Below are 25,604 nucleotides of genomic sequence, written 5' to 3'. Positions count from 1 at the left end.
ACTTTTTCCCACTTTGTTTTTAAGAAAACAGAAGCTCTGAGATGAGTAATTTGTCAAGGTCAAATAGCTTTTTAAGTGGGAGAGCAGGGCTTTGAGCCCAGAGACTTTGACTGCGGAACCTGGCCTCTTTACTGCTCTGCTATATGAAGTTGGGAAATACTGCCAGAGCAGATTGCGTTTCCTTTTAATAGCTGGTATCAAAGCAAATCTAATGAAAACGTGTAACTTGAAAACAATGTCTCTGAAATTTATGCTCTTAAAGGGGATTTCTTGTGTTTGAAAATAACCAACTCAATTGGATGATATGTAAGGAATTAGGAAAAAAACCAAGCAATTCTCAAGGGAACTAATTTGTATAACTAGGAAATATCTCAAGAGAATTATTTCTTGCATTGTATGATACTTGGGAGCATATACCATACAGTCAGATTTGCAACCAGAAATAATTTGTTGTGCGAAATAAGACACCTTCCCTCCAACACTTGGTCTGTAGGGAGAGGAGACGAGATCACCGATAATGATTTTCACATGTAAGGCTGTGATTTCAGTTGTTGCAATTTGTTCCTTTCTCGACGCTTCAGTTTGGTTGGTATTCACAGGAGCATTGACATACTTTTTACATAATATAATTTTCCAAAGCGTTTTTAACCCAAGAGGTTGGAATATTTTGGGTGGAAGCAGGCATTTTGGACTGGGTACCCTGCATACACCAGTCTTCACCCTGTTGCCCAAGCTATTGTCTCTACTGTTGAACTTCTACTCATCATTCAAGGCCCACACAGATTGTCACCTCCTCATTGTAAGCCTTTCTAATTGTCAGAACAAAATGAGCTGCCTGCCTCCATTGGACCATAGCCAATTTTTTTTTTTTTTTTTAAGATAGAGTTTTTCTCTTGCTGCGCAGGCTGGAGTGCAATGGTGCTACCGCAACCTCTGCCTCCTGGGTTAAAGTGATTCTCCTGCCTCAGCCTCCCAAATAGCTGGGATTACAGGCATGCGCCACCACATCCGTCTAATTTTGTATTTTTAGTAGAGATGGGGTTTCTCCATGTTCGTCAGGCTGGTCTGAAACTCCGGACCTCGGGTGATCCACCCGCCTCGGCCTCCCAAAGTGCTGGGATTACAGGTGTGAGCCACTGTGCCCAGCCGACCATAGCCAATTTTGTAACTCACAACATTTTACCTTCTATTAGATTGTCCTGTCTTTGCGTCATTGCTCTGCTTAAAAGTTTCCATTTAGTAGGTAGCGTAGTCTTGTTTCCGTGCTTGCCAAACTATGGCCTGAGGGCCAAATCCAGCCTGCTGCCTGGTGTGGTATAGCCCTTGGGATTAAAATGACTTTTTGCTTTTTTAAATGATTGGGGGACATAGGCCAAAAGAAAGGTAACACTTCATGACACATGAAAATGATATAACATCCTGATTTCATTGTCCATCATTAAAGTTTTATTGGAGCACAGTCATGCTCATTTATTTATGCATTGTCGGTGGCTGCTTTTGCGCAACAGCGACTTTGAGTAGTTGCAAAACAGACCATCTGGCCCTCAAAGCCGAAAATATTTTCTATCTGGCCCTTTACAGAAAGCCTTTGTTGACCTGTGACACGGTTTGGCTCTGTGTCCCCACCCAAATTTCATCTTGTAGCTCCCATAATTCCCACGTGTTATGGGAGGGACCCAATGGGAGATGCCTGAATTATGGGGGCGGGTCTTTCCTGAGCCGTTTCTCGTGAGAGTGAATAGTTCTCACGAGATCTGATGGTTTTAAAAACGGGAGTTGCGTTGTACAAGCTTTCTTTTTGTTTGCTGCCTTCCGTAGAAGATGTGGCTTGCTCATGCTTGACTTCTGCCATGGTTGTGAGGCCTCCCCAGCCATGTGGAACTGTAAGTCCAATAAACTTCCTTCTTTTGTAAATTGCCCAGTCTCGGGTATGTCTTTATCATCAGCCTGAAAACTGACTAATACAACCTGTGTAGTAGAGCAGGGAGAAATCTCTCACATTTTAGTGTTTATCAGAATAACCTGGAGGGCTTGTTATAACCAAGTGTTGGACCCTACCCCTATAGTTTCTGATTCAGCAGGGCTGGGGTGAGCCCTGAGAATTTGCGTTTCTAAGAAGTTCCCAGGTGCGGCTGCTGCTGCTGCTGGTTGAGTCCTCTACTTTGAGAGTCACTGGTTTAGAGGTAAAGGACGGTCTCTGAAGACACAGATACATCTGGAGCTAGTTTCTTATTAATCAAACAGTTAACCTCTCTGAATCTCCATCTGTAAAATGGGGATAAATGGCAGCCTCTTCAGATTGTTTGAAGATTTGGTAGATAAAGCCTATGAAAGTTCCTGGAAGGTATAGTAAAGATTCAATACATGTTTTTCTCTCCTTCTTTCTGTTCTCTGCCTACACCTTGTCTCCCTCAGCGAAGGAACTGTAAACACTTCATTTTCTCAGGGACTAAGAACTCCCCTTCTTTATAGGGTTGCTTGGGAACTGTATAGTCGTGGACAAGTCCTGAAGAGCTTCCCTCTAGCGTCATACTTTTCATGTAACCCCAGGTAGGCTGGGAAAACCATTCCGACCTAACTTACTTGCACGCCTACTGTGTACAAGCATCTGTACTAAGTAAGAAAATTAACATCCAGGACTAGAAAAGAGATGATCTCTTAACCTGACAGATGATTTCACGACAAAGGCAGAGGCCAGGCCTTAAAAAAGAATGGTTGTGCTTTTGTTAATTATAACCAGCTGATTTTGTCTTCTTCCTTAGGAAGAATGATAAAGGGCAAGTGCTTTAGAAACCAAGCCGTGCTGAAATGTTTAAGGAACCAGATATGAGTGCATTCAAAAGAAATACAGGCAATTTGAAAGTAGTGTTTTTCTGGAGCTTGGCTTTAGAACCAGGGTTAAGCACACAAAACCCTAAGTTTTCCCTAAGAATTTTTTTCCCTTTGAAACTTAGCCATTCCTACTTCGTAAAATTGTTGTGAGGATCAAGGGAGATAATAATATAATTATATTTGAAAAGTATAAAGCACTGTTTACATGCAAGGGAATCAGGTTTAACACATTAAATGGAAATCAAATTAGGGACGAAAGAGTGCAGTTTATTGGATGAATAGCAGAGGGTTCAGAAAATCTGGGGAATGCTGTAGGAATCCACTTCTGTCTGTCTTAGCCTCTAGAAATGTGTGCACCTTAATTTGCTTGTTAAATTAATTATAGAGATAGTCTTTTGACCTTCTTGTTCTCAAATTTCTTACTTTCTCTGCATGTGGCAGAACGTGACAGATGAACAATTAATAGCATACAGTTTCCCTCCACATAGGGCACAAAACATCAGTTGCTTACTCCCTGTTAGCCCTACTTAGAAAGAGGTACTTTTCCACTTTGCCTTCATATTTTTGCATTGTGCCTCCGTCCCTTTACCTCTTTGATGGCTTCAGCTGTGGCTAGATTTGCAAATCACGTTTATTTTGATAACCTTCTACTGAAAAATATTTTTCAGCAGAGGTGTGCTGGTAAATGTTTAACAACCAGTTCCCTGGGAGAGTGTATGTATGTATATGCTATTTATTTGATGTTTACTATCAATATTGCTGATTTAAAGGATGTGTAACACACAATTTACAAATAATGATAAAGTATGCAATACTCTTCATTGTAAATTCCGTATAACCAATTGATAGCAGGATGCCTTTGCTGATTTGTAACCAATTCTTGTCTATAGCCAACCTGTTATTGCAATTGACCAGCAAGTGTAATTCCAACATAAATGTTGGTTGATATTTACTTTTATGTTAATTAGTAAGATGAAGGTGAAACAACCAAAAATATATGTATGCCAGTAATAAGGAGTGACTACTTTTTCTAATTGGATAATAGTTTTGAATACTAGAAGAATATTTTCTTAATTTTTTATGCTATCATACCTACAGACCCAACATTCACTTAATTTTAATCTGTGTAATTAACATTTTTCACCTTCACTTTTTTAAGCCTAGAAAACTAACAAAACAATAAATCAAGCCCTGACTTGTAGCATTTACCAGTTCCCATGGTATAAATAATCCTACTGCTGATTTCAAGTTACCAATGAGATGTCCCTGAACATAGAGGTAGGAAGAGATGTGCTGGTTCACAGTTTTGTGAGCCACATAATTTCTGTTGCAGCTACCCAGTTCTGCTGTTGCAACACAGAGACAACCATAGACGATATGTAAATGAATGGGTGTGAGTGGCTGTGTCCCAATAAAACTTTATTTACAAAAACAGCCTGTGGCCAGGTTTGGCCCACAGGCTATCATTTGCCAATTCATGGTCTTTAGTCAATCTCCTAATTATAATGCTTTTCAACTTTTTAAAATAGACTTTATTATTATTTTTAGAGCAGTTTCAGGTTTACTAAGTGGAAGGTACAGGGATTTCCCACATGCCCCCTGTCCCCCAAATCCATACCTTCCCTCACTATCAACACCCCTCAACCAGAGTGATTCGTTTATTACCACTGATAAGCCTACATCAACAGGTCGTTATCACCCAGAGTTGATAGTTTACTTTAGGGTTCGCTTTCTGTGGTGTACATTTTGTGGGTTTGGACAAACATGTACTCATATATATCCACCATTATAGTGTCACACAGAGTAATTTCACTGCCCTCAAGATCCTCTGTGCTCCACTGGATCAGATCCAAGTAGCAGTTGCCAGGGGTTGGGGGAGGAGGGATGAATAGATGAAGCTCAACTTTATTTTTAATCAGGAAAAAAATACTTAAATCTACAGCAAACAACAGCTATTTATTGAATACCTAATATAAGCCATACGAGCCAAGCACTGTGCTTAGTTTTAAGAATCTGGGCTGGGCACGGTGGCTTATGCCTGTAGTCCCAGCACTTTGGGAGGTAGAGGTGGGCAGATCATGAGGTCAGGAGTTTGAGACCAGCCTGGCCAACATGGTGAAACCCCGTCTCTACTAGAGATACAAAAAATTAGCTGGGCGTGGTGGTGCGCACCTGTAATCCCAGCTACTTGGGAAGCTGAGGCAGAAGAGTCCCTTGAACCCGGGAGGCAGAGGTTGCAGTGAGCCGAGATCGCACCATTGCACTCCAGTCTAGGTGACAGGGTGAGACTCTGTCTCAAAAAAAAAAAAAAAAACAAAACCAAAAACAAACAAACAGCAAGAATCTGGGAGCACATCACTCATAGATAGGTTCTTCATGGATCTTACATTCTAGTCAGGGTAGACTGACAGTTACTAGAAACAAAGCAAAACAAACAGACAAAAGAGCTATGAATCTTAACTGGAATTCAATACATAAAATAGATAAAAGCTCAGAGTCCTAAAAACTTGAGCACTTTCTCACCCTGCTGGTTCCCCCTGTGTTTAACTGTAGGACTCTACTGATAAGAACTGGAAAACCATGACCCAACTGTCAGTAGGATGTTGACAATTTTTTTGTTATTATGTTGCTGCTTTGAATTTTTTTGCATAATACATGATTTTTTTTTTGAGACAGGATCTTGCTCTGTTGCCCAGGCTGGAGTGCAGTAGCACGATCAGATCTCGCTGCAGCTTCCATCTCCTGGGCTTAAGTGATATTCCTTCCCCAGCCTCCCAAGTAGCTGGGAATACAGGCAGGTGCCCCTATGACTGGCTAATTTTTTATTTTATTTTATTTATTTTTAGTAGAGATGAGGTCTCTCTATGTTGCCCAGGCTGGTCTCAAACTCCTGAGCTCCAACGATCCTCCCACCTCACTCTCCCGAAGTGCTGGGATTACAGGTATGAGCCACCGAACCTGGTGGCTTGTACATAACCCTTGATCACATTATTTTATTACAAAAGATTTCTAGCAGAAAATTTAGGGGGTCAAAGGGGTATGGCTATTTTTAAGGCTCTTGTTCTATTTTGTGAATACATTTTTCAGTTTGTGCTACCGTGAGCACTATTATGTGAGTTGTATCTCACCTTTGTCAACATCTCATATTGGCATTTAAAAAACATTTGCAAATTTGATAGATGAAAAATATTACCTTGTTTTAATTTGCATTTCTTTGATTAGTTGAGTGCTGAACAATTTTTTCATTTTAGTCATTTGCATTTTTCCTCTGAATTGACGAGAATAGGACAGTTTGAACATAATTTAAGTAGAGCTTTGGAAAGAGATTAATGAATCAGTTTTTACCTCCAGATACCAGATTTGAGTTTGAATGAGGTCATGGCCAAGAAAAGCAGAATTCTGAGAATTCTATAGAATTCTCCAGCGTAGCCAGGTCTGCATTTTATTCTGGACACATTACTCTTCTTTAATAACATTATTTTTTCAAGTATTTAAAAACACTATCTGAAAACTTACAGGTAAAGATTTAAATATGAGGGAGAAACCATGTGATATTACTCAGCAGAAGAGAAAAAGATGAAACTAGATGTAATGAAAGTACAAGGTTTGTAGTATGGACTAAATGCTTGTATCCCCCCAAATTCATATGTTGAAGCCTAATCCCCAGTGTGATGGTATTTGGAGGTGGGGCTTTTGGGAGGTAATTAGATCATAAGGGTGGAGCCCCTATGAATGGGATTAGTGCTCTTATAAGAAGAGACACAACAGGGATGATTATTATCTCTGCAAACCAGATCTCTACAAGACAGCCATCTGCAAACCAGGTCCCTCTCCACACACTGGATCTGCCTTGACTTTGGACTTCCAGCCTCTAGAACTGTGAGAAAAAATTCATATTGTCGAAACCACCTAGTCTGTGGTATTTTGTTATAGCAGCCTGATCTAAGACAGAAATTTGTGTTAGGGTTCTCTAGATAAACAGAACCAATTATATGAGAAATCCCATCTGTCGTCTACGAGTTGGAGATCCAGGCAAACTAGAGTGTAGTTCAAAGATCTGAGAGCCAGAGAGAGACAGTGCTAACACTGTAGCTTCCAGTTTAGTCTGGAGGCAGGAGGACCAGGAGTGCTGAGGGCAGGAGAAGACTGATGTCCCAGCTAAGCAGTCAGCATGAGAGGGCAAATTCAACCTTCCTCTGCCATTTTGTTCTATATATGCCCTCAAAAGATTGGATGATACCGCCTCCACATTGAGGAACATGCTAATCTCTCCCAGATACACCCTTGTAGACACACCCAGAAATAATGTTTAACCAGCTAGCTCGGCAGTCCATGGCCTAGTCAAGTGTTGACACATAAAACCATCGCTGTAGGACACTTTTAGGTGGATGGGAGAGAAAGTCTGAGTAGTTGAATTAGTTTACTTTTTCATAGTCTTCATAAGCAAAATATGTGCCTGCTGACAGTAATTCCAAAAATATACTTAACTGTGTTCCTATTTTGAAACAGGTATGGTTTACTTCCAGGCTTTTTGCATCTAGTGTTTTTCATTTTTATTTTTTCAATTGTAAAGCAACATTTTACTCAAAAGTTGGCTCGACTGTCAAAAGAAATATTCCTTCCTTTGAATATTTATCAGTTTTTCTCTCATCCCAGAGCTCTCTTAGAGTTTCTTTAGATTATTATGGGATTTTTCAAAAATACATACAGGTAAATATAATAATTTCATGTGAATCCATTACCCAGCTTCAACAATTAGCACGTCTTATCAATCTGGCTTTACCTACCCCTTTCTGTCCTCTGAACTTCTATCCCCTGCCACCCTCAGCCATGCACATGCACACACACACACACACACACACACACACACACACACCCCTATTTTTTTATTGTTTTTGGGATTAAAACAATAAAAATTGATTAACATAATTATCCAATAGCATTGTATAATATTTTGGCAGTCTTAAACAATTTTGTTTTGAATTACTTATTTGTGATAAAACTCTTATTTTTATTTTATTTCATTAATATGTTTTAGAAGAATTTTGTTTGTTGTGAAAATAAAAGCAATACCTTTTATTGTAGAAAAATTTGAAATTACAATAAGCAAAAAGAAAAAAATCAATGTATGTTACCATTTATATTTTGGTTTATATAATTCTTATTTTTTTCTACATATGTCTTCTATGAAATCATATTTTATATTCTGCTATTTTTCCCTCAGTAAAATACTATGAATATCTTTCTATAACATTGACTTTTTTTCTATTTTAACGGCTGAATAGGCTTCCTATTGTAGGGATGGAAAAAGTTTATTTCATCAGTTATTGTTGGAAATTCTTTAAAAAATTTTTGGCTATTAATTGCCTTGCTACAGTAAATATGGATGTATCTAATTCCTTGTGCACATAATTATTTTCATTGGATAAATTGCCAAAATGAACATATAATTATTTGTTTTCTTCTTGAGTGGCTTGCCAGTTTATGTCCTTTTCTAATTTTTTATTGGTGACGTCAACATTTTTTTGTGGTTTTTTATATATTATAAAAGGTTTATTTACCTATTTGTCATTTGTTTCACTTTTTAAATTGTCATGTTTTTCATTTACCTTACGTGGCAGATTGTATTTTCCAAAGATGGTCTTAACACTTCTGCCCTAGAGATGTGAGTTGATGTCACCTCCATTTGAATCTGAGCAGGCCTGAGACTCAACTTGTAATTTCTAAGCCTAGGTAAGAAAATGTGTGCGGCTTCTGCCTTGTTCGCTGGAGCACTCTCCTGTGGTACCCTAATCTGCCATATGGGAATTGTGACTATTCTGAGGTGGCCATGCTGTAAGGAGCCCAGACTATACAGAGAGACCATGTGTAGGCATTCTAGTTGTGACATTCCCAGCTGTGATCCCAGCCACAGGCAGCATCACCAGCGAGACGTGAACAAAGCCACCTTTACATGATTCCAGCCCCTACCTATCAAGTCATATGCAGCCTTTGAGTATTCTCACTGAAGATCCAGATGTCATGGAGCAGAAACAAGCCAATCCTGTTATGCCCAGTCCAAAATAATTATCCACAGAATATGTGCTCACAATAAAATTCTTGTAAGCTACTAAGTTTGGGGGATATGTGTTACACAGTAGAACACTAAAACCAGAACATGTTATGATTCTGTTATGAAGTTATAAAACGTAGAAAGTTAACATTTTTATATGGCCACATATTTCAATGTTTTCCCATTTTTTTTTTTTTTTTCGAGTGAGGGTCTCACTTTATCGCCCAGGCTGGACCATCTCTGCTCACTGCAACCTCTGCCTCCCAGGTTCAAGCAATTCCCCTGTCTCAGTCTCCTGAGTAGCTGGGACTACAGGCGCACGCCACGATGACCATTTAATTTTTGTATTTTTAGTAAAGATGGGGTTTCACCATGATGGCCAGGCTGCTCTTGAACTCGTGGCCTCAAGTGATCTGCCTGTGTCTACCTCCCAAAGTGCTGGGATTACAGGCGTGAGCCACTACACCGGGACTGCTTTGATTTTTACCTTTTATTCACCCCTCATGATTAGAAGGGACTTTTCCATCTGCTATGGACTCATTTGTGTCCCCCTGAAATTCATATATTGAATTCCCAACCCTCAATGTGACTGCATTTGGAGACAGTGCCTATAAGGAGATAATTAAGGCTAAATCAGATCATAAGTGTGGGGTCTTGATCCATAGGATTCGTGCCCTTACAAGAAGAGCTACCTGAGAGCTTGCTCTGTCTCTCCATGCTTACTCAGAGGAAAGACCAGGGTGGGACAAAGCAGCCATCTGCAAGTCAGGAAGGGAGCCCTCTCCAGAAACCCAGCCCTGCTGGAACCTTGATCGTGGACTTACCAGCTTCCAGAACTGTGAGAAAATAAATTTCTGTTGTTACAGCCATGCAATCTGCAGTATATTTTATGGCAGCCCTAGCTGGCTAATATACCAACCAAAGGTTGAATAATATTCTTCCTTATTTAAAAATAGTTCTTTTATAATCTTGTTTTTTGGTCTTCATCTTCCCTGGTCTCTCTGTAGCACTGAGGACAGGTGACCTCCTTTGCCTCTTGCTGTGGCTTCTCAAACTCTATACCCCGTAGCTGTTACTCCTACCCTTTCCAGATTCTCCTCCTTGGTTGTCTTTGCACAAACATCTTTCTCCAACTTAGTCTTTAAATTTTGTAGTTCCTCAAGTCTCGGTTCTGGTTTCTTTTATCTTCACACTCCATTCCCTCTAGGATACCTCATCTACTTGTGTGACTTCAGTGACCAGTTTGAGCTGATGGTCCCTAAATTAAAATTTCCTTTCCCGACGCTTTTTTGAGCTCAAGACCAAATACCCAACCGCTTTTTCTTCATCTCCGCATGGCTATCTTATAGACACCTCCAAATAAACCCATGAGTTCAAAACTAAGCTCATGCTCTATGTCCGTCCTTGCCCTCCTACTCTCAAACCTGGCCCCTTTCCCATGTTTGTGATGTGGAGTGGCACCATCAGATACCTTGAGGTCACCTGGACTGCTGCCTTCTGCCTCCTCCCCCTCATGGAAGATCAACTCCCAATTCCTGTTGGTTTACCTCGGAAATAACCTTGACCTCTCTGTACTCCTCTGGTTCTTTCCTACTCTTGCTTTTGTCCCCTATACCATCATTTTTTATCTCACTTCAGTAGAATATTTACTGGTCTTCTTGCTTCCAGCCTTTGACTTCTTCCAATCGACTCTACAGCCAGAATGATCTTTTCAAAATGTGAGCGTAGTCACAACACCTTCTGGCTTTGTCTGTCCGTGGGTTCTCATTGCTCTGAGGATAAAGATGAACCTCCTCGCTATGACCCAGGGGACCCTTCATGGTCACGGCCCCCATCACATATAGCAGTCTCCTCTGACCTCATTCTCCCACCCAGTCTCTGAACTTCATCCTCATCAGCCATTCTCCAGTTCCCCAAACCACACGCCCAGTCACAAAGTCTTCTCTGCACACGTTCACCCTCACCCTCTATGTGAGCCCCTCTGTGTATTTAATTCCTGCTCCTTGCTCAGAGCTCTCAGATGTTCTCGGGAAAGCCTCACCTGACCCCTGTTGTATGAATTCCTTGACCCCGGACTTCTCTGGCATTATCACAAAGGTAATTAAATAACTGGTTGTGCAATTCAACCTTTGATGTCTGCATTATGGCTGCTGTGTCAATTAAGGTAAGAACAATTGGAAGGCAGAATTGGAGGCAGTTTTATTGGCCACATGCCACACCTGAGACCATACCTGCCAGGTAACAGCTTAGTCCAACCACTGACAAGAGGGGGAGAGAGAGAGACAGACAGCAGACAGAGAGACTGACTTATGCATTCATTTATTTTTAAGCAGAATTTCTCCTCTCTCCTCTCATTGATTCTGACCCTGTTGGGGGGAATGTTATCAGGCATGGCAGGATAAATTACCCGTTATTGCTACCTTTGCCCTTTGTTCTGGAAGAACCCTTTCACCTTCTTGTGAACTTGTGGCTCTCTGTCTTCAGTATCTGCTGATAAATGCTGAAGAAGCTGGGTTTTAAACATCCTGGTGTTTGATCACCTCCCCATCCAATATTTCCTAAAGGTGAGCAGGAAACCACCTCCAGTGTACTATCAGCAAGGGAAAGGGGAAGAGTGAAAGGGTTGTCACCTGGTGGCTCTGTGTGCCAGATAAAAGCAATGCAAGGTGGAGAGCAAAACCCTACCTAATCCTGGAGGAGCTGTGATGGGACCCTTGATACTTAACTGTAGTTCTTTGGAACTCATCAGACCATCCTGTTAAGCCTCAGCTAAACTGCAACTCCAAGACTGTGGAATAAATGGGGGTTTTCTCCATGGTTATGTCCTCACTGCCCCACAGTGATCTTGCTTGTATTAATAATTTTGTACTTGGTAAATATATATAATAATTTTAATATAAATAGAATAATTTTGTACTTGGTACATATTTGTTAAATGTATGAAGAAATTAAACTCTTTTGCTTGAGACAACGTCTTGCTGTGTTGCCTAGTGTGGAGTGCAGTGGCGTGATCAAGGCTCACTGCAGCCTCCATCTCCTGGGCTCTGGTGATCCTCCTACCTTAGCCTCTCGAGTAGCTGGGGTTACAGGTGTGCAGCACCATGTCCAGCTAATTTTTGCATGTTTTGTAGAGATGGGGTTTCACCATGTTGCCCAGGCTGGGTCTCAAACTTCTGGGCTCAAGTGATCTGCCCACCTCCGCCTCCCAAAGTGCTGGGGTTACCAGCATGAGCTACCACGCCCAGCCAAATTAAACTCTTTAATCCATTTGGAATTCATTTTAGTGTGTGCTGTGATTTAGGGAATAGCTCTATTTTTCCCCACAAATGATTAGTTCCCTCAATGGCAAATGTTTAATAATTTATTCTTTTCCTAGTAACTTAAAACATTACAATTACTATATACTTCAGTCATGTATACACTAGGTGCTGTTTCTAAACTTTCTATTGTTTATTAATCTCTTGGTTTGTTACCATTACCATCACCCTTTAAAACATTTTTCTTGATTTATGTGTTCTTGTTTTTATGAAAACATTTGTTTTTTTTAACATACTTTTAATATATCTATTTTATTTTTAAAAATACATGACTATTGGAAGTGAAATGAAAAGCTGTGCTCTGTGAAGTGTAAAGTGTGTTAAGAGAACTTGATATTTTGATATTCTGTGATTTGGGTTCTGAGTTTTAAAGATAGTGATGTATCCTGGCACAATTTATGAAATTAAGATATTTCTGGCTGGAGCGGTGGCTCACACCTATAATTTCAGCATTTTGGGAGGCTGAGGTGGGTGGATCACCTGAGGTCAGGAGTTCCAGACCAGCCTGGCAAACATGGTGAAACCCCATCTCTACTAAAAATACAAAAATTAGCCGGCTATGGTGGCTCACACCTGTAGTCCCAGCTACTTATGAGGCTGAGGGAGGAGAATTGCTTGAACCCGGGAGACGGAGGTTGCAGTGAGCTGAGATCACGCCACTGTACTGCAGCCTGGGCAACAGAGCAAGACCCCATCTCAAAAAAAAAAGATATTTCTATAAAAAAGTAAATTTTTGATTGCCCATTGAAAAACATAAATGGTGGCAGCTTGCAGTAATGTTCTTTGTTTTCTATGAACAACCATGAGTACGCTGCAAGAATCCAAACTTCTAGTCTTCTGGGAGTCTTCTAGTCTTGTGAAATGCATCAATAGCCCTTGATGCATTTCTGATGTGGCTCCTCTTTCCTTGTTACTAATGTTCAAAATCTTCTTGGCTGTTCTCAGTCATTTATTATTCCAGATGAACCTTACAATTATTGTGTCAAATTCTGAAAGTGAAATCCTGCTGATATTTTGACTGGAATTGAATTATATTCACAGATTCATTTGGGGAAATTTTAGTTCTTTGCAGTATTGAATGTTTTCATCCAGGAAAATGACATGCCTTAAAAAAAAAAAACTCAAGTTGTTTTTGATGTCCCTTAATAAACATTTTTAGCTTCATGTGAGTCATGTCTCTCTCTCTCTCCCTCCCTTTCTCTCTCTCTCTCTTATCCTTGTCTTTCCTTCCCTCCCTTCCCTCCCTCCTCCCTTCCGTCGCCTGCCTGCCTGCCCGCCCTCCTTCCCTATTGTGAATGAGTATGTTTTCCCCATGAACTTTTCAGAACTAGTCATATATTTAACAAATAATCATTGAACGCTTGTATAGTTACAGCCTTATTCCAGGTAATCCAAGTTATTGATTTTCTTCTGTGGTAAAATACATTAAACATAAGAGTAACCACTTCAGCAATTTTTAAGTGTACAGTTTAGTGGAATTAGGTACAGTCACATCACCACTATCCATCTGGAAAATGTTTTCATAATCTCAAACTGTAACCAGCCATTGAATTTTGAGTAACCAGTATGATAAGACACTTTAGAAAACTCTCATTAGTTTCAGTTGTTGACAATTGTTTTGTTTCATAGATGTACACCTGTATTGTATGTGGTCTGTCTCCTTTCCAGTAGGTGCCTCACTTACTTTTCTTGCATTATTGCAAAGGTACATAGAACTGTCACCATAATCTGAAATAACATAAGTGATTATGGGCATCCTTGTCTTGTGTATTTTAATGAGAATGCCTTTAGTGGCTGGGAGTGGTGGCTCACATCCATACTACCAGCAGTTTGGGAGGATGAAGTAGGAAGATTGCTTAAGGCCAAAAGTTCGAGACCAGCATGGGCAACATAGTGAGCCCCCTCCCCCCAGCCCCCACCATCTCTACAATTTTTTTTTTTTTTAAATTAGCAGAGCATGGTGGTGTGCACTTGTAGTCCTAGCTACTTGGGAGGCAACACTTTAAAGCAAATTTAAATAAAATGAAGAGAATGGCTTTAGTATTTTTAAAAAGTGTACTATTACTTGCTGGCTTGCTGTTTAATATTGATATTTCTTAGAGAAGTATACTTATTTTATTGGGAGATTTTTAATAATCGAGAAGAATGCTGTATTTTATAAAATGCTTTTCTTTTTTAAATTTTACTTATTTATTTATTTTTGAGACAAGGTCTCATTCCGTCACCCAGGCTGGAGTGCAGGGGCATGATCACCGCTCACTGCAGCCGTGACCTCCCAGGGTCGGGTGATCCTCCCACCTCAGCCTCCTGCAACTACCTGGTAAAGGAATTATTTTTATTGTTTTTTTTTTTTTTGTTTAATAATGAAAGCATGGAAGCATGGATGAATACAGCTTTGACTACATGCTTTGAGAGGTACTATTTATTGTTTTACTAAGTGGTGGAGTGGTGAGATCACGTGGTCTGTACAAATTCTATTTTTGAAGACTAATAGATGATTGGTGTCTGTGTCTACCTACTTTATAAAATATGAAGTGTGTTACTGTAATTTTTGGTCAGTTTTTCCTTGAAATTTTTATAGTAATTGCTTTATACGTTTTGATGCTAGTACATAAAGGACTTGACTGTTGTTTGTTTATTGATCTGCCTTTACCAGGCAGTTGCATTTTATGTGAGGGAAGTACTTCTGAAGACTGCAAATCTAAGACTGATTTTCTTTTTTATAATTTTTTTATTTTTTATTTTTATTTTATTTTGTCGAGTTATTTTCTTATTGGGATAAATGTAGAATGTGTGTGAGAGTGTATTCTTGTGTGCATAAATCATTAACCTATAGTCTAATTTTGCTTTAATGATTCTATATTCTACAGCGTTATTCTGATACTTTTTTCAAAGGGCCTAATGTAGCATGATGGCTTTTGACCCTTCTTATATGACCCTTCTTATAATGTTGTGTAATATCTAACTTCTGCTTTAAAGGGAATGGTTTAGGGGTACCATTTCAGCAATAGCCATAGCATTATTATTTAATAAAAATTGTTATAATACACAAATTTTTATTTTATTTTTAGATGGAGTCTCACTCTGTCTCCCAGGCTGGAGTGCAGTGGCACCATCTCGTTTCACTGCAACCTCCATCTCCTGGGTTCAGGCAATTCTCCTGCCTCAGCCTCCCAAGTAGCTGGGATTACAGGCATGCACCACCATGCCTGGCTAATTTTTTTTTGCATTTTTAGTAGAGATGGGGTTTCACCATGTTGGTCAGGCTGGTCTCAAACTCCTCATCTCAAATGATCCACTCGTCTTGGCCTCCCAAATTGCTGAGATTATGGGTGTGAGCCACTGTGCCTGGCCAATACACAAACAATTTAAATTAAAAAAATACTTTTTACTATAATCTATTTTTACTCTATACTGTAGTAAAATAACAAATGCCCACCAAAATCATCTGCATAAGTTCTGACATTTAACAGCAACATGAGTCTTAGGATAATGACAAAGATTAGTGGGTTGTTTTCTGCTAACGTGTTGCCTTCATGTGGCAGCATCAGCCATCATCATCATCATCACCACGACCATCATCTTCATCCTCGCCATAACAAATACTGGGTAATATTTGCGTATGCTTGGCTGTGTTCTAAGTACTTAAATATATTAACTCTTTTAATACTTGTGACATCGTATGACATGGTTATTATTAGTCTCACTCACGTCATAGATGAAGAAACCAAGGCACAGGGAGAGAAAGCAATTTGTCCAAGGTCACACAGCTTATAAATGGCAGAACTGGAATTTGAACCCAGGCAGCTTAGCCCTGGAGTCCGAATCCCTAACTACCATGCCATGCTGCTTCTCCACAGTTTACAACTCACTTGGCTAGAAAGGTCTGTAAGTTTCCTATGTTTTTCAATTTTTTAAAATACTGAGCTTTGGCCGGGTGCAGTGGCTCACGCCTGTAATCCCAGCACTTTGGGAGGCCGAGGTGGGGGGATCACGAGGTCAGGAGATTGAGACCATCCTGGCTAACACAATGAAACCCCATCTCTACTGAAAATAGGAAAAAAATTAGCTGGGCGTGGTGGCGGGCGCCTGTAGTCTCAGCTACTCGGGAGGCTGAGGCAGGAGAATGGCGTGAACCCGGGAGGCAGAGCTTGCAGTGAACTGAGATCCTGCCACTGCACTCCAGCCTGGGTGACAAAGCGAGACTCTGTCTTAAAAAAAAAAAAAATACTGAGCTTTGCATTATTTCAAATTTTGCACATAAAGTAAAATTTTCTTAATATGTTTATCCCACTTTTAAATTCACTTAATTTAAAATCAGACAAAATGTAACTATACTGTTTTGCTAAATTGCATTACAGAGAGTTTGCATGAGTTTATATCACAACTACCATTATTTAAAAGAAATCTTTTTCAATAAGGGGATGTGTAAGGTGACCTATTATTTTAATTTGCATCTTTCATTAAATAAAAAATGAATTTATTAACCTTTAGTGTCTCTTCTGTAGGTTTTCTGCGTATGCCAATTTTTCTACTGGGTTTTAGTATTTTATTTTTTGATTTCTGAAAAAAATCCTTTTTATTTTATTTTTGTTATTTTTATTTTTATTTTTTGTGACAAGATCTAGCTCTGTCACCCAGGCTGGATGGAGTGCAGTAATATGATCTCAGCTCACTGCAACCTCTGCCTCCCAGGCTCACACAACCCACCCACCTCAGCCTCCCAAAGTGCTGGGATTACAGGTGTGCGCCACTGCACACAGCCCCCTTTCTGTTTTAAAGGTATCAACTACTCTTTCAAATGTAAAGAAACGTGGCAAAATAGGGCACTTGCATTTTATGTTACTTAAAAAGTTATATCTGTTATGATTTTTTTGTTCGCGTTTCTATTTGGTGAATGGAAGTTTTACATTTGTATGTTATCAAGTCAGTTGCTGTTTCCCTTTATAATTTATTACATAGTCTTTCCTTCTCCCTTAATAAGTTGATAAACATTTAATAATATTTATTCTATTTTTATGATATAATTTTATTTAATTGTTTAATCCAGCTGGGATTTCTGTTTGTGGATGGTGAAAAGAAAAATCCACAATTGAAAGTGAATCTTTACATTCCCCTTGCAGTTTTAGCATGTTGTGCTAACAAAATTTATTAAAATGTCTGTCTCTGATTTCAGAAACACCTTTAATTAAACTGATGTACACAATGGATTCTGTTTCTTAGTGATTGGTTTTGTTCCACCAACTGCCTTGATCTCTTCTCATATAGTAGCACGCTGTCTGTCCTATCTTGAGATAGTGGTTAGGGCTGGTTTGCTTCCATTAGTGTTATTCTTTGATAGTCGTATTTATTTTTCCAGTTTCATTTTAAAATACAAGTTGTAGAGGAGTTCAGATCATAGACTCTGGAGCCGGATTTACTGATTTTAAATCCTCAGTTGATGCCTTCCAGCCCTGAAACACCTGGGCAGATTGCTTGACCTTTGTATATGCCTCAGTGTCCTCATCTGTACAAAGAAAGTATCTTTAGGGGGTTGTAGTGAGAATCAATAGTTAAAATACGTACAGCTCATATATTAATAATTGGCACAGAGTAAGCTTTAAGCATGCTAGTTATTCTCACAATTTTGTGAAGTTCAAAACTCATCCTATTGGGATCTTGATTTCAATCACATTAAACCAAACCTATGGATTGATTGGGGAAGATTGATAACTCCCTCTTCAGGAGCATAGTTTGATTTATTCAACTTCTATCGCACATTTTCTCAATGAGCATTTGTAGTTTTACCCACATGAGGTTGCAGTCTTAATTAACTAGAGCAATTAAGACCTGAGTGGGGAGAAAGATTCTGATCACTCCAAATCCATCTGGATGCAACCGTTGAACTGGATGCTCCCACTCCTGTCTCAAACGGGATGAGACTCTTACTGGGGGCAGTGAATAAAGAAGATAGAGGCAGTATAAACCTTTCCTCTCTCTGGTGACCCTACAGCAAGACCCTCCCTGATTTGGATGTTCTCATTGGCACAAGATGCGGCCGGCAGCAGTGGTGATTTATACTAGGCTTGACCTCTGGGTACCACCACCAGGCTTGTTGCAGAGGAAGGCAAGGTTGAGCACTCCAGCCTTCCCTCCTAAATCAGGCTCCAGACCTTGTTTGAGCTGCATCCCTACTCCAGAAAGAAGTAGGAGCCCTCAACTCACCAGCCCTTGCCCAGCTCATTCCATCAGAAACAGGGATTAAATTGCACAGACTTTATTCCTGGCATGTGCATACGTGGAGCACTTATTGACTGATATCCTTTCTTTCACTCAGCTAGTCAACGTTTCCCATGTTAGGAGCTATAACATTCTTCCAGCTCCCACTTGCAGACCAGCACGACGTGGTTACTTTTGCTTTCTTATCAAGCACACGCTGTTCATGAATACATTTGGAACTTGTTATCCTTTCTTTATCTCTCAAGGCTAGATATCTGTAAACAGAACATGTTTAATAAATATTTGTAGTTTTTTTATATGTCACACATAGTTTTCATTTAGATATTTTATAGATACTGCAATTCCTTTGTTATATTTATGAATTGAATTACTTTTCTAAATGTAAAATTTGTTATACTAATATTAAAGGAATGTTACTGATTTTTTGAATGTGTATGTTTTAGCAAGCTTTTATTTTTCTTTCATAACTTCTATTCAATTAATAAAGTTTTCCTTATTATTTTCCTTCTCCCCCACTGATTTAGAAAGTATGTATTCTTTTTCTATTCTTTTAGTCTTCCTTAAATTTTTAATGCACATATTTGACTGAAGACTTCAAATTAATACCTTTATTCTCTTTCCAACTATATGATGTCCTTAAAATGGTTTAACTCTGGTCTCCCCAACATCGTGGATGTTTTTGTTATCTAGTGATTACATCTTGTTATTGTTTATTTTTTCATACCAGCAAATTCAGCTTTAATCTCTTTTTTTTCAGTCTTTTATTTTAAAATTGTAGACTCACAGGAAGTTGTAAAGATAGTACAGAGAGATTCCTGTACCCCCCACCCAGTTTCATCATCCATGACCCCTGGCAACTTATCTATTCTCCATTTCAATCACTGGGTCATTTCATGAATGTCACACAAATGGGATCATGCAGTATGTGGCCATCTGAGATTGACTCTCTTCCCACAGCATAATGCCCTTGACATCCATCCAAGTTGTTGAGTATATCAATAGTTTGTTCCTTTTTATTACTAACTAGTATACCACCATTTTGTATTTATTCCCTCAACAGCTGTTATTAACATTATCATTTTTATTGATATGTTTACCAGCTTGTCTACTTACTATTATTCCTTGTATGTGCTTCCTTCTGAATTTGATTTCCTAAAAGTACTGTAGCCTTCAGTAATTCTTTCCATGAGTATTTGCTCGTGCTATTTTTTTTTCAGTCTTTATTTTTCCCAAATTATCCTTCCCCTCTCTTAATTTGAATGAATAGAAGGTTCTAGATTTATGGGTTTTTTTTTTTTTAATCTTTTTCTTTTTTGAGACAGACTCTCACTCTCGGGCTGGAGTGCAGCGGCATGATCTCGGCTCACTGCAACCTCTGCCTCCCGGGTTCATGTAATTCTCATGCCTCAGCCTCCCAAGTAGCTGGGATTACAGGCACACGCCACCATGCCTGGCTGATTTAAGATTATTTTTTTCACAAAACTTTGAAGACATATCTTCTTATCTTCTGGCTTCTGTTGTTGTTCATTTACAGGTAATCTTGTTGGCCCTCGTCTTCTGTACCCTCTCTCTGCTGCTGCCATGACTTTGAAGATGATCTTGCTGCCTTTTGCCTTCTATAGTTTCACCACAATGTATTTAATGTATATTTGTTTTTGTTTATTCTATTCTTGTCTCAGACCAAATATTCAAAATGAAGATTCATGACTTTCTTTAAAGCTTAGAAAATGTTTAGCCAACATGTCTTTAATATTTTCTTCTTCCCTTTATTATTTTTCTGAAGTAAGGATTATTGAAGGCCAGTTTACATGCAGTAAAATTCAGCTCATTTACACATATAGGTAAGTGATTTTTGACATTTATAGTATTGTAAACACCACTATAACCATAATACAGAATATTTTCATCACCCCAAAAAGTTCTGTCACCTCCTTTATAGTCAATTCCCTATCTCTGCCCCAACCCCTGACAACTTCATCTGGTTGATGACTCTATAGTTTTGCATTTTCTAGATAATCATGTAAATGGAATTGGAGTATGAAATGTTTGTGCGTGGCCTTTTTTTTTTCACTCAGCACAATACACTTGGTTTATTAATACTGTTGCGTGTACTTAGTAATTCCTTCCTTTTTATTTCCATGTAGTATTTCATTATAAGGCTATACCATAATTTGTGTTCACCAGTTGATTAGTATTTGGGCTTTTTCCTGGTTTGAGTGATTATGAATAGGCTGCTATAAATATTCATGTTCAGGTCTTTCAGCGGACATATGTTTTATTTCTTTTGAGTAAATATCTAAGATTGGGATTATTGGTTCGTATGGTAATTGCATGAGTAGCTTTAGAAGAAACTGTTTTCCAAAGTGGCTGTAGCACTTTGCATTTCCACGAGCTCTGCATAGAATTCCATTTGCTCCATGCCCTTACCATCACTTAGTATTGATAGATTTTTTTTTATTGTCATTCTGATAGGAGTGTAGTGGCATCTCATTGTGGCCTTAATTTCCCTAGTCACCAATTATGTTGAGCTTCTTTTTCATGTGCCTATTTTTCCATCTACAGATGTCCCCAATTTACAATTGTTTCACTACAATTTTTCAACTTGGTGCAAAAGTGATAGGAATTCAGTAGAAACTATACTTTGAGTACCCATATACCCATTCTATTTTTTATTTTCAACCATTTATTGGATTCTGGTAAGGTATTCAATAAATTACATGAGATAGTCAACACTTTATTATAAAATAGGCTTTGTGTTAGATTATTTTGCCAAGCTGTAGGCTAATGTAAGTTTTGTGAGCACATTTGAGGTAGGATAGACTAAGCTCTGATGTACCACAGGATAAGTGTATTAAACGTATTTTTGGCTTACAGTATTTTCAACTTAAGATGGGTTTATTGAGATGTGACCCCATCATAAGTTGAGCATATGTATATATCTTCTTTGGTGGAATGTTTGTTCAAATTTTTTGTTCAATTTTAAAATTAGTCTTTAAAAATATTGTATTTTGAGAATCCTTTAAATATTCTCAAGATATTTCCTTTATCAAATATGTTTTTAGCAAGTATTTTCTCCCTGTCTGTGACTTGTCTTTTGCTTTTAATTTCTATTCATTTTTCTGTAGAGATAGGGTCTCACTATCTTGCCCAGGCTGGTCTCAAACTTCTGGCCTTAAGCAGTCCTCCCACCTCCACCTTCCAGAGTGTTGGGATTACAGGCATGAGCCACTACACATGGCCCTTTTCCTTTTTAAAATACAGTCTTTCCGAAAAGCAGAATTTTTTTATTTGGATGAAATCTTTTTTTCTTTCATGATACATACTTTTTTGTGTCCTGTGTAAGAAATCCTACTGTATCCCAAGATCACAAAGATTTTCTTTTAAGATTTCTTCTACAAGTTTTGTAGTTTAGGTTTTAGATTTAGGTCTAGGACCTAATTTGTGTGTGTGTTGTGAGGTAAGAGCTGAAATTCCTCTCCCCAGTTCCCACAAAGTTTAATATGCTATGTTTTTATTTTTATTCAGTTCAATACACTTCCTAATTTCCCTGATTTCTTCTTTGAGCCATGGATTATATAAAAGTGTTTTATTTAGTTTTCACATATGTAGGGGATTTTCCAGAGTTCTTTGTGTTACTGATGTCTAATTCCTTTGTGGTCAGAGAACACATTTTGTATGACTTGAATATTTTAAATTTATTGAACCATATTTCATGGCTCAGAATATGATGTGTTTTGGTAAATGTCGTAAGTGTTCCATGTGCAGTTGAAAAGAAGGTGTGAGATCTTTCTTTTGTTGGCAGAGTGCTCTATAAATGTCAATTAGATCAAATTGGTTCGTATTGTTTCTCAAACCTTCTGTGCATTTACTGATTTTCTCTTTCTTCTATAGATAATTGAAATGGACTTTGAAATAAACTCTGATTTTGGATTTGTCTATTTCTCTTTATGGTTCAACCAGTTGCTGCCTCATGAATTTGAAGATCAGTTACTAGGTTATAAATGTTTAGGAATTGTCTTGTCCTTTTGATTAATTGACCCCCTTGTTTTGCTTTTTTTTTTGAGACGGAGTTTTGCTCTTGTCGCCCAAGGCACGATCTTGGCTCACGACAACCTCCGCCTCCTGGGTTCAAGCGATTCTCCTGCCTTAGCCTCCTGAGTAGCTGGGATTACAGGTGTGCGCCACCATGCCCAGCTAATTTTTGTATTTTAATAGAGATGGCATTTCACCATGTTAGCCAGGCTGGTCTTGAACTTCTGACCTCAGGTGATGCACCAACCTCAGCCTTCCAAAGTGCTGAGATTACAGGCGTGAGGCACTGTGTCCGGCCTGTTGGAAAGCTTTTAATGACTGATTTTATCTCTTTACTTGCTATAGGTCTGTTCGGGGTTTTATTTCTTCTTGGGTCAATTTTGGTAGTTTTGTGTTTCTAAAAATTTTTCCATCTCTTCTAGGTTATCTAACTTGTTGGTGTACAATTGTTCATAGTATTGTCTTGTAATTCTTTTAGTTTTTTAAGGTTGGTAGTAAAGTCCCAATTTTTATTGTGATTTTTAGATATTTGTATCTTCTTTCTTTTTTGTGTAGTCAGCCTAAAGTTTTGTAAATTGTGCTAGCCTTTTCGAAGGACTAACTTTGGTGATTTTCTCTATTATCTTTCTATTCTTGGCTTCATTCATCTCTGCTCCAATCTTCCTACTGCTAGCTTTATGTTTAGTTTGCACTTCTTTTTCTAGTTTCTTAAGATGTAGTTAGGTTATACTTTATTTCTTCTTCTTATTTCTTATACTTAATTATTGCATGTACAACTTTTTCAGAGTGTCTATTCAGATGTTCTCCCCATTTCAAAAATTGGGTTGCTGTGTTCTTTCTATTAACTTGTAATTGTTCCTTTTATATTTTGGATGCAAATATTTGTTCGGATGAGAACACATGGACACAGGGAGGGGAACAATACACATTGGGGCCTGTCAGGGGGTTGGGGGAGGGAAAGCATCAGGATGAGTAGTTAATGCATGTGGGGCTTAGATGGGTTGATAGGTGCAGCAGACCACCATGGCACAAGTTTACCTATGTTAACAAACCTGCATGTTCTGCGCTTGTATCCAAGAACTTAAAACCAAAAAACAAATATTTGTTTAGATATAGGCATTGCACATATTTTATTCGAGTCTGTGTCTTGTGATTTCAAGTGTTTTTCAAAGAGTAAAAGTTTAAAATTTTGTTGAAGCCCAATTTATTAACTGTTTTAAATGTTTAGCGTCTTCTATATTCTAAGTAACCATTGTCTGCTCCACAGTTTGCAAAGACTTCTCCTGTCTTCCAGAAATTTTAATCTTTTAGATACAGGTCTAAGATCCATCTTGAGTTAATAAAATTGTTTGATGTGAGATAAGGGTTAAGGTTAATTTCCAATAGACCTCTAGTTCTTTCAGAACCTTTTGTTCAAAAGACTATCTCTTCCCATTGAATTAAATTGGAACTTTGGAATCTTAATAGAAAACCAACTGACTTGGCTTGGTAATAACTTGATACGTGTTAATCTTTTCCTAGAATCTCTATTCTGTTCCATTTGCTTCTATTCTATTCTTATTACAAAGTTGTTTTTATTAGTGAAGCTGCATAGTACGTCTTAAAGGTAGTATAAATTTTCCAGCTTTGTTCTTTTTTCAAAATAATTTTGACTATTCTAAGTTGTTGGCATTGCTATCTACCTTTCAGAATCACCTTGTTAATTTCTTCAAATAATCCTAATGAGATTTTGATGATGATTGCCTTAAATCTATAGATCAATTTTATGAGATCTGACATTATTACAACATTTAATCTTTTAATACACGAACGTGGTGTATATCTCAAACTATTCTTTACATTTTCTCAGCAGTTTTTCGTGTAGCAGTCTTGTGAATATTTTGTTAAATCTGTAAGTATTTCATGGTTTTTGACACTTACATCTTTATAAAATTTCAATTCAGATTGATAGTAGATTGAAATATAACTGACTTTGTATCCTCTGACATTGATACATTTACTTAATAATTATGTTAATTAAATTAATAAGTTTAAAAATATATTCCTTATGACAGTCTATGAATATGATCATATCACCTGTGGATAAATACAGTTTTACTTTATTGCTAAGATTTATGACCTTTATTTCTTTTTCTTTCCTTAATATACTGGCTAGGACCACCATTAAAATGTTGACTGGGAGTTGTAAAGTAGACATTCTTGCTCATTTCCTGATCATAGGGGGAAATTTTATGGCCTTTTGCTGTAAAGTATAAGGGTAGGTAGTGATTTTTATTTATTTATTTATTATTTATTTATTTTTTTTGAGATGGAGTCTCACTCTGTCGCCTAGGGTGGAGTGCAGTGGCATGATCTCGGCTCACTGCAAGCTCTGCCTCTCAGGTTTATGCCATTCTCCTGCCTCAGCCTCCTGAGTAGCTGGAACTACAGGTGCCCGCCACCACGCCTGGCTAATTTTTTATATTTTTTAGTAGAGACAGTGTTTCACCGTGTTAGTCAGGATGGTCTCGATCTTCTGACATCGTGATCCACCCGCCTCGGCCTCCCAAAGTGCTAGGATTACAGGCGTGAGTCACTGCACTCAGCCAGGTAGTGATTTTTAAATGCTTGTTATCATTATCTCTTTGAGAAAATGCTCTTCTATTCCTAGACTTATCACAGGTTTTTTCATGCATGGGTGTTAAGTTTTGTCAAATGCTTTTTCTGCACCTATTGAGACGATCATGTGGTTTATTTTTTCATGTGTAAAAATGGCTAATTCTATTTCTTGATTTTTGAATGATAAGACAACATTGTATTTCTGGGATAGCACACACACAGCCATAATGTATTACCCTATTTAAATATTGTCGGACTTGATTTGCTAATATTTGTTGAGGAGTTATTTTTTATGTTCGTGAGGAATATTGGTTTGTACTTTTTTTTTTTGTAATGTCTTTTTGGCTGTCAGAGTAATATCATAGTAATGCTGGCCTCAAAATGTTGTGGGAAGTATTCCCTTGTTCATTATTTTTCTGAGACAGTTTTGCCTGGTTGGTTTTTTTTTATTTTATTTTTTTTACCTAAATATTTGCAAAAATTCATCAGTGAAACTATCTAGACTTGGTATTTCCTTTGTGGAACTATTTTAAATTGTGAGTTTAATTTCTTTC

At 38.2% G+C, this 25,604-nt stretch overlaps 1 long non-coding RNA gene across 2 annotated transcripts in view; it reads left to right on the top strand.

The window, feature by feature from the left end:
* The first annotated feature begins 1,791 nt into the window (after nucleotides 1-1,791).
* The window catches only part of ARLNC1 (androgen receptor regulated long noncoding RNA 1), a 63,862-nt gene continuing 40,049 nt past the window's right edge, over nucleotides 1,792-25,604 (top strand). For both annotated transcript variants that reach the window (NR_131948.1, NR_131947.1), the window contains exon 1: nucleotides 1,792-1,883. This is a non-coding gene — a long non-coding RNA (androgen receptor regulated long noncoding RNA 1). The remainder of the gene's footprint in view (nucleotides 1,884-25,604) is intronic.

This window comes from Homo sapiens, chromosome 16, assembly GCF_000001405.40.
Source record: "Homo sapiens chromosome 16, GRCh38.p14 Primary Assembly".
Lineage (NCBI taxonomy): Eukaryota > Metazoa > Chordata > Mammalia > Primates > Hominidae > Homo > Homo sapiens.
This window is presented reverse-complemented; position numbering and strand designations above follow the sequence as displayed.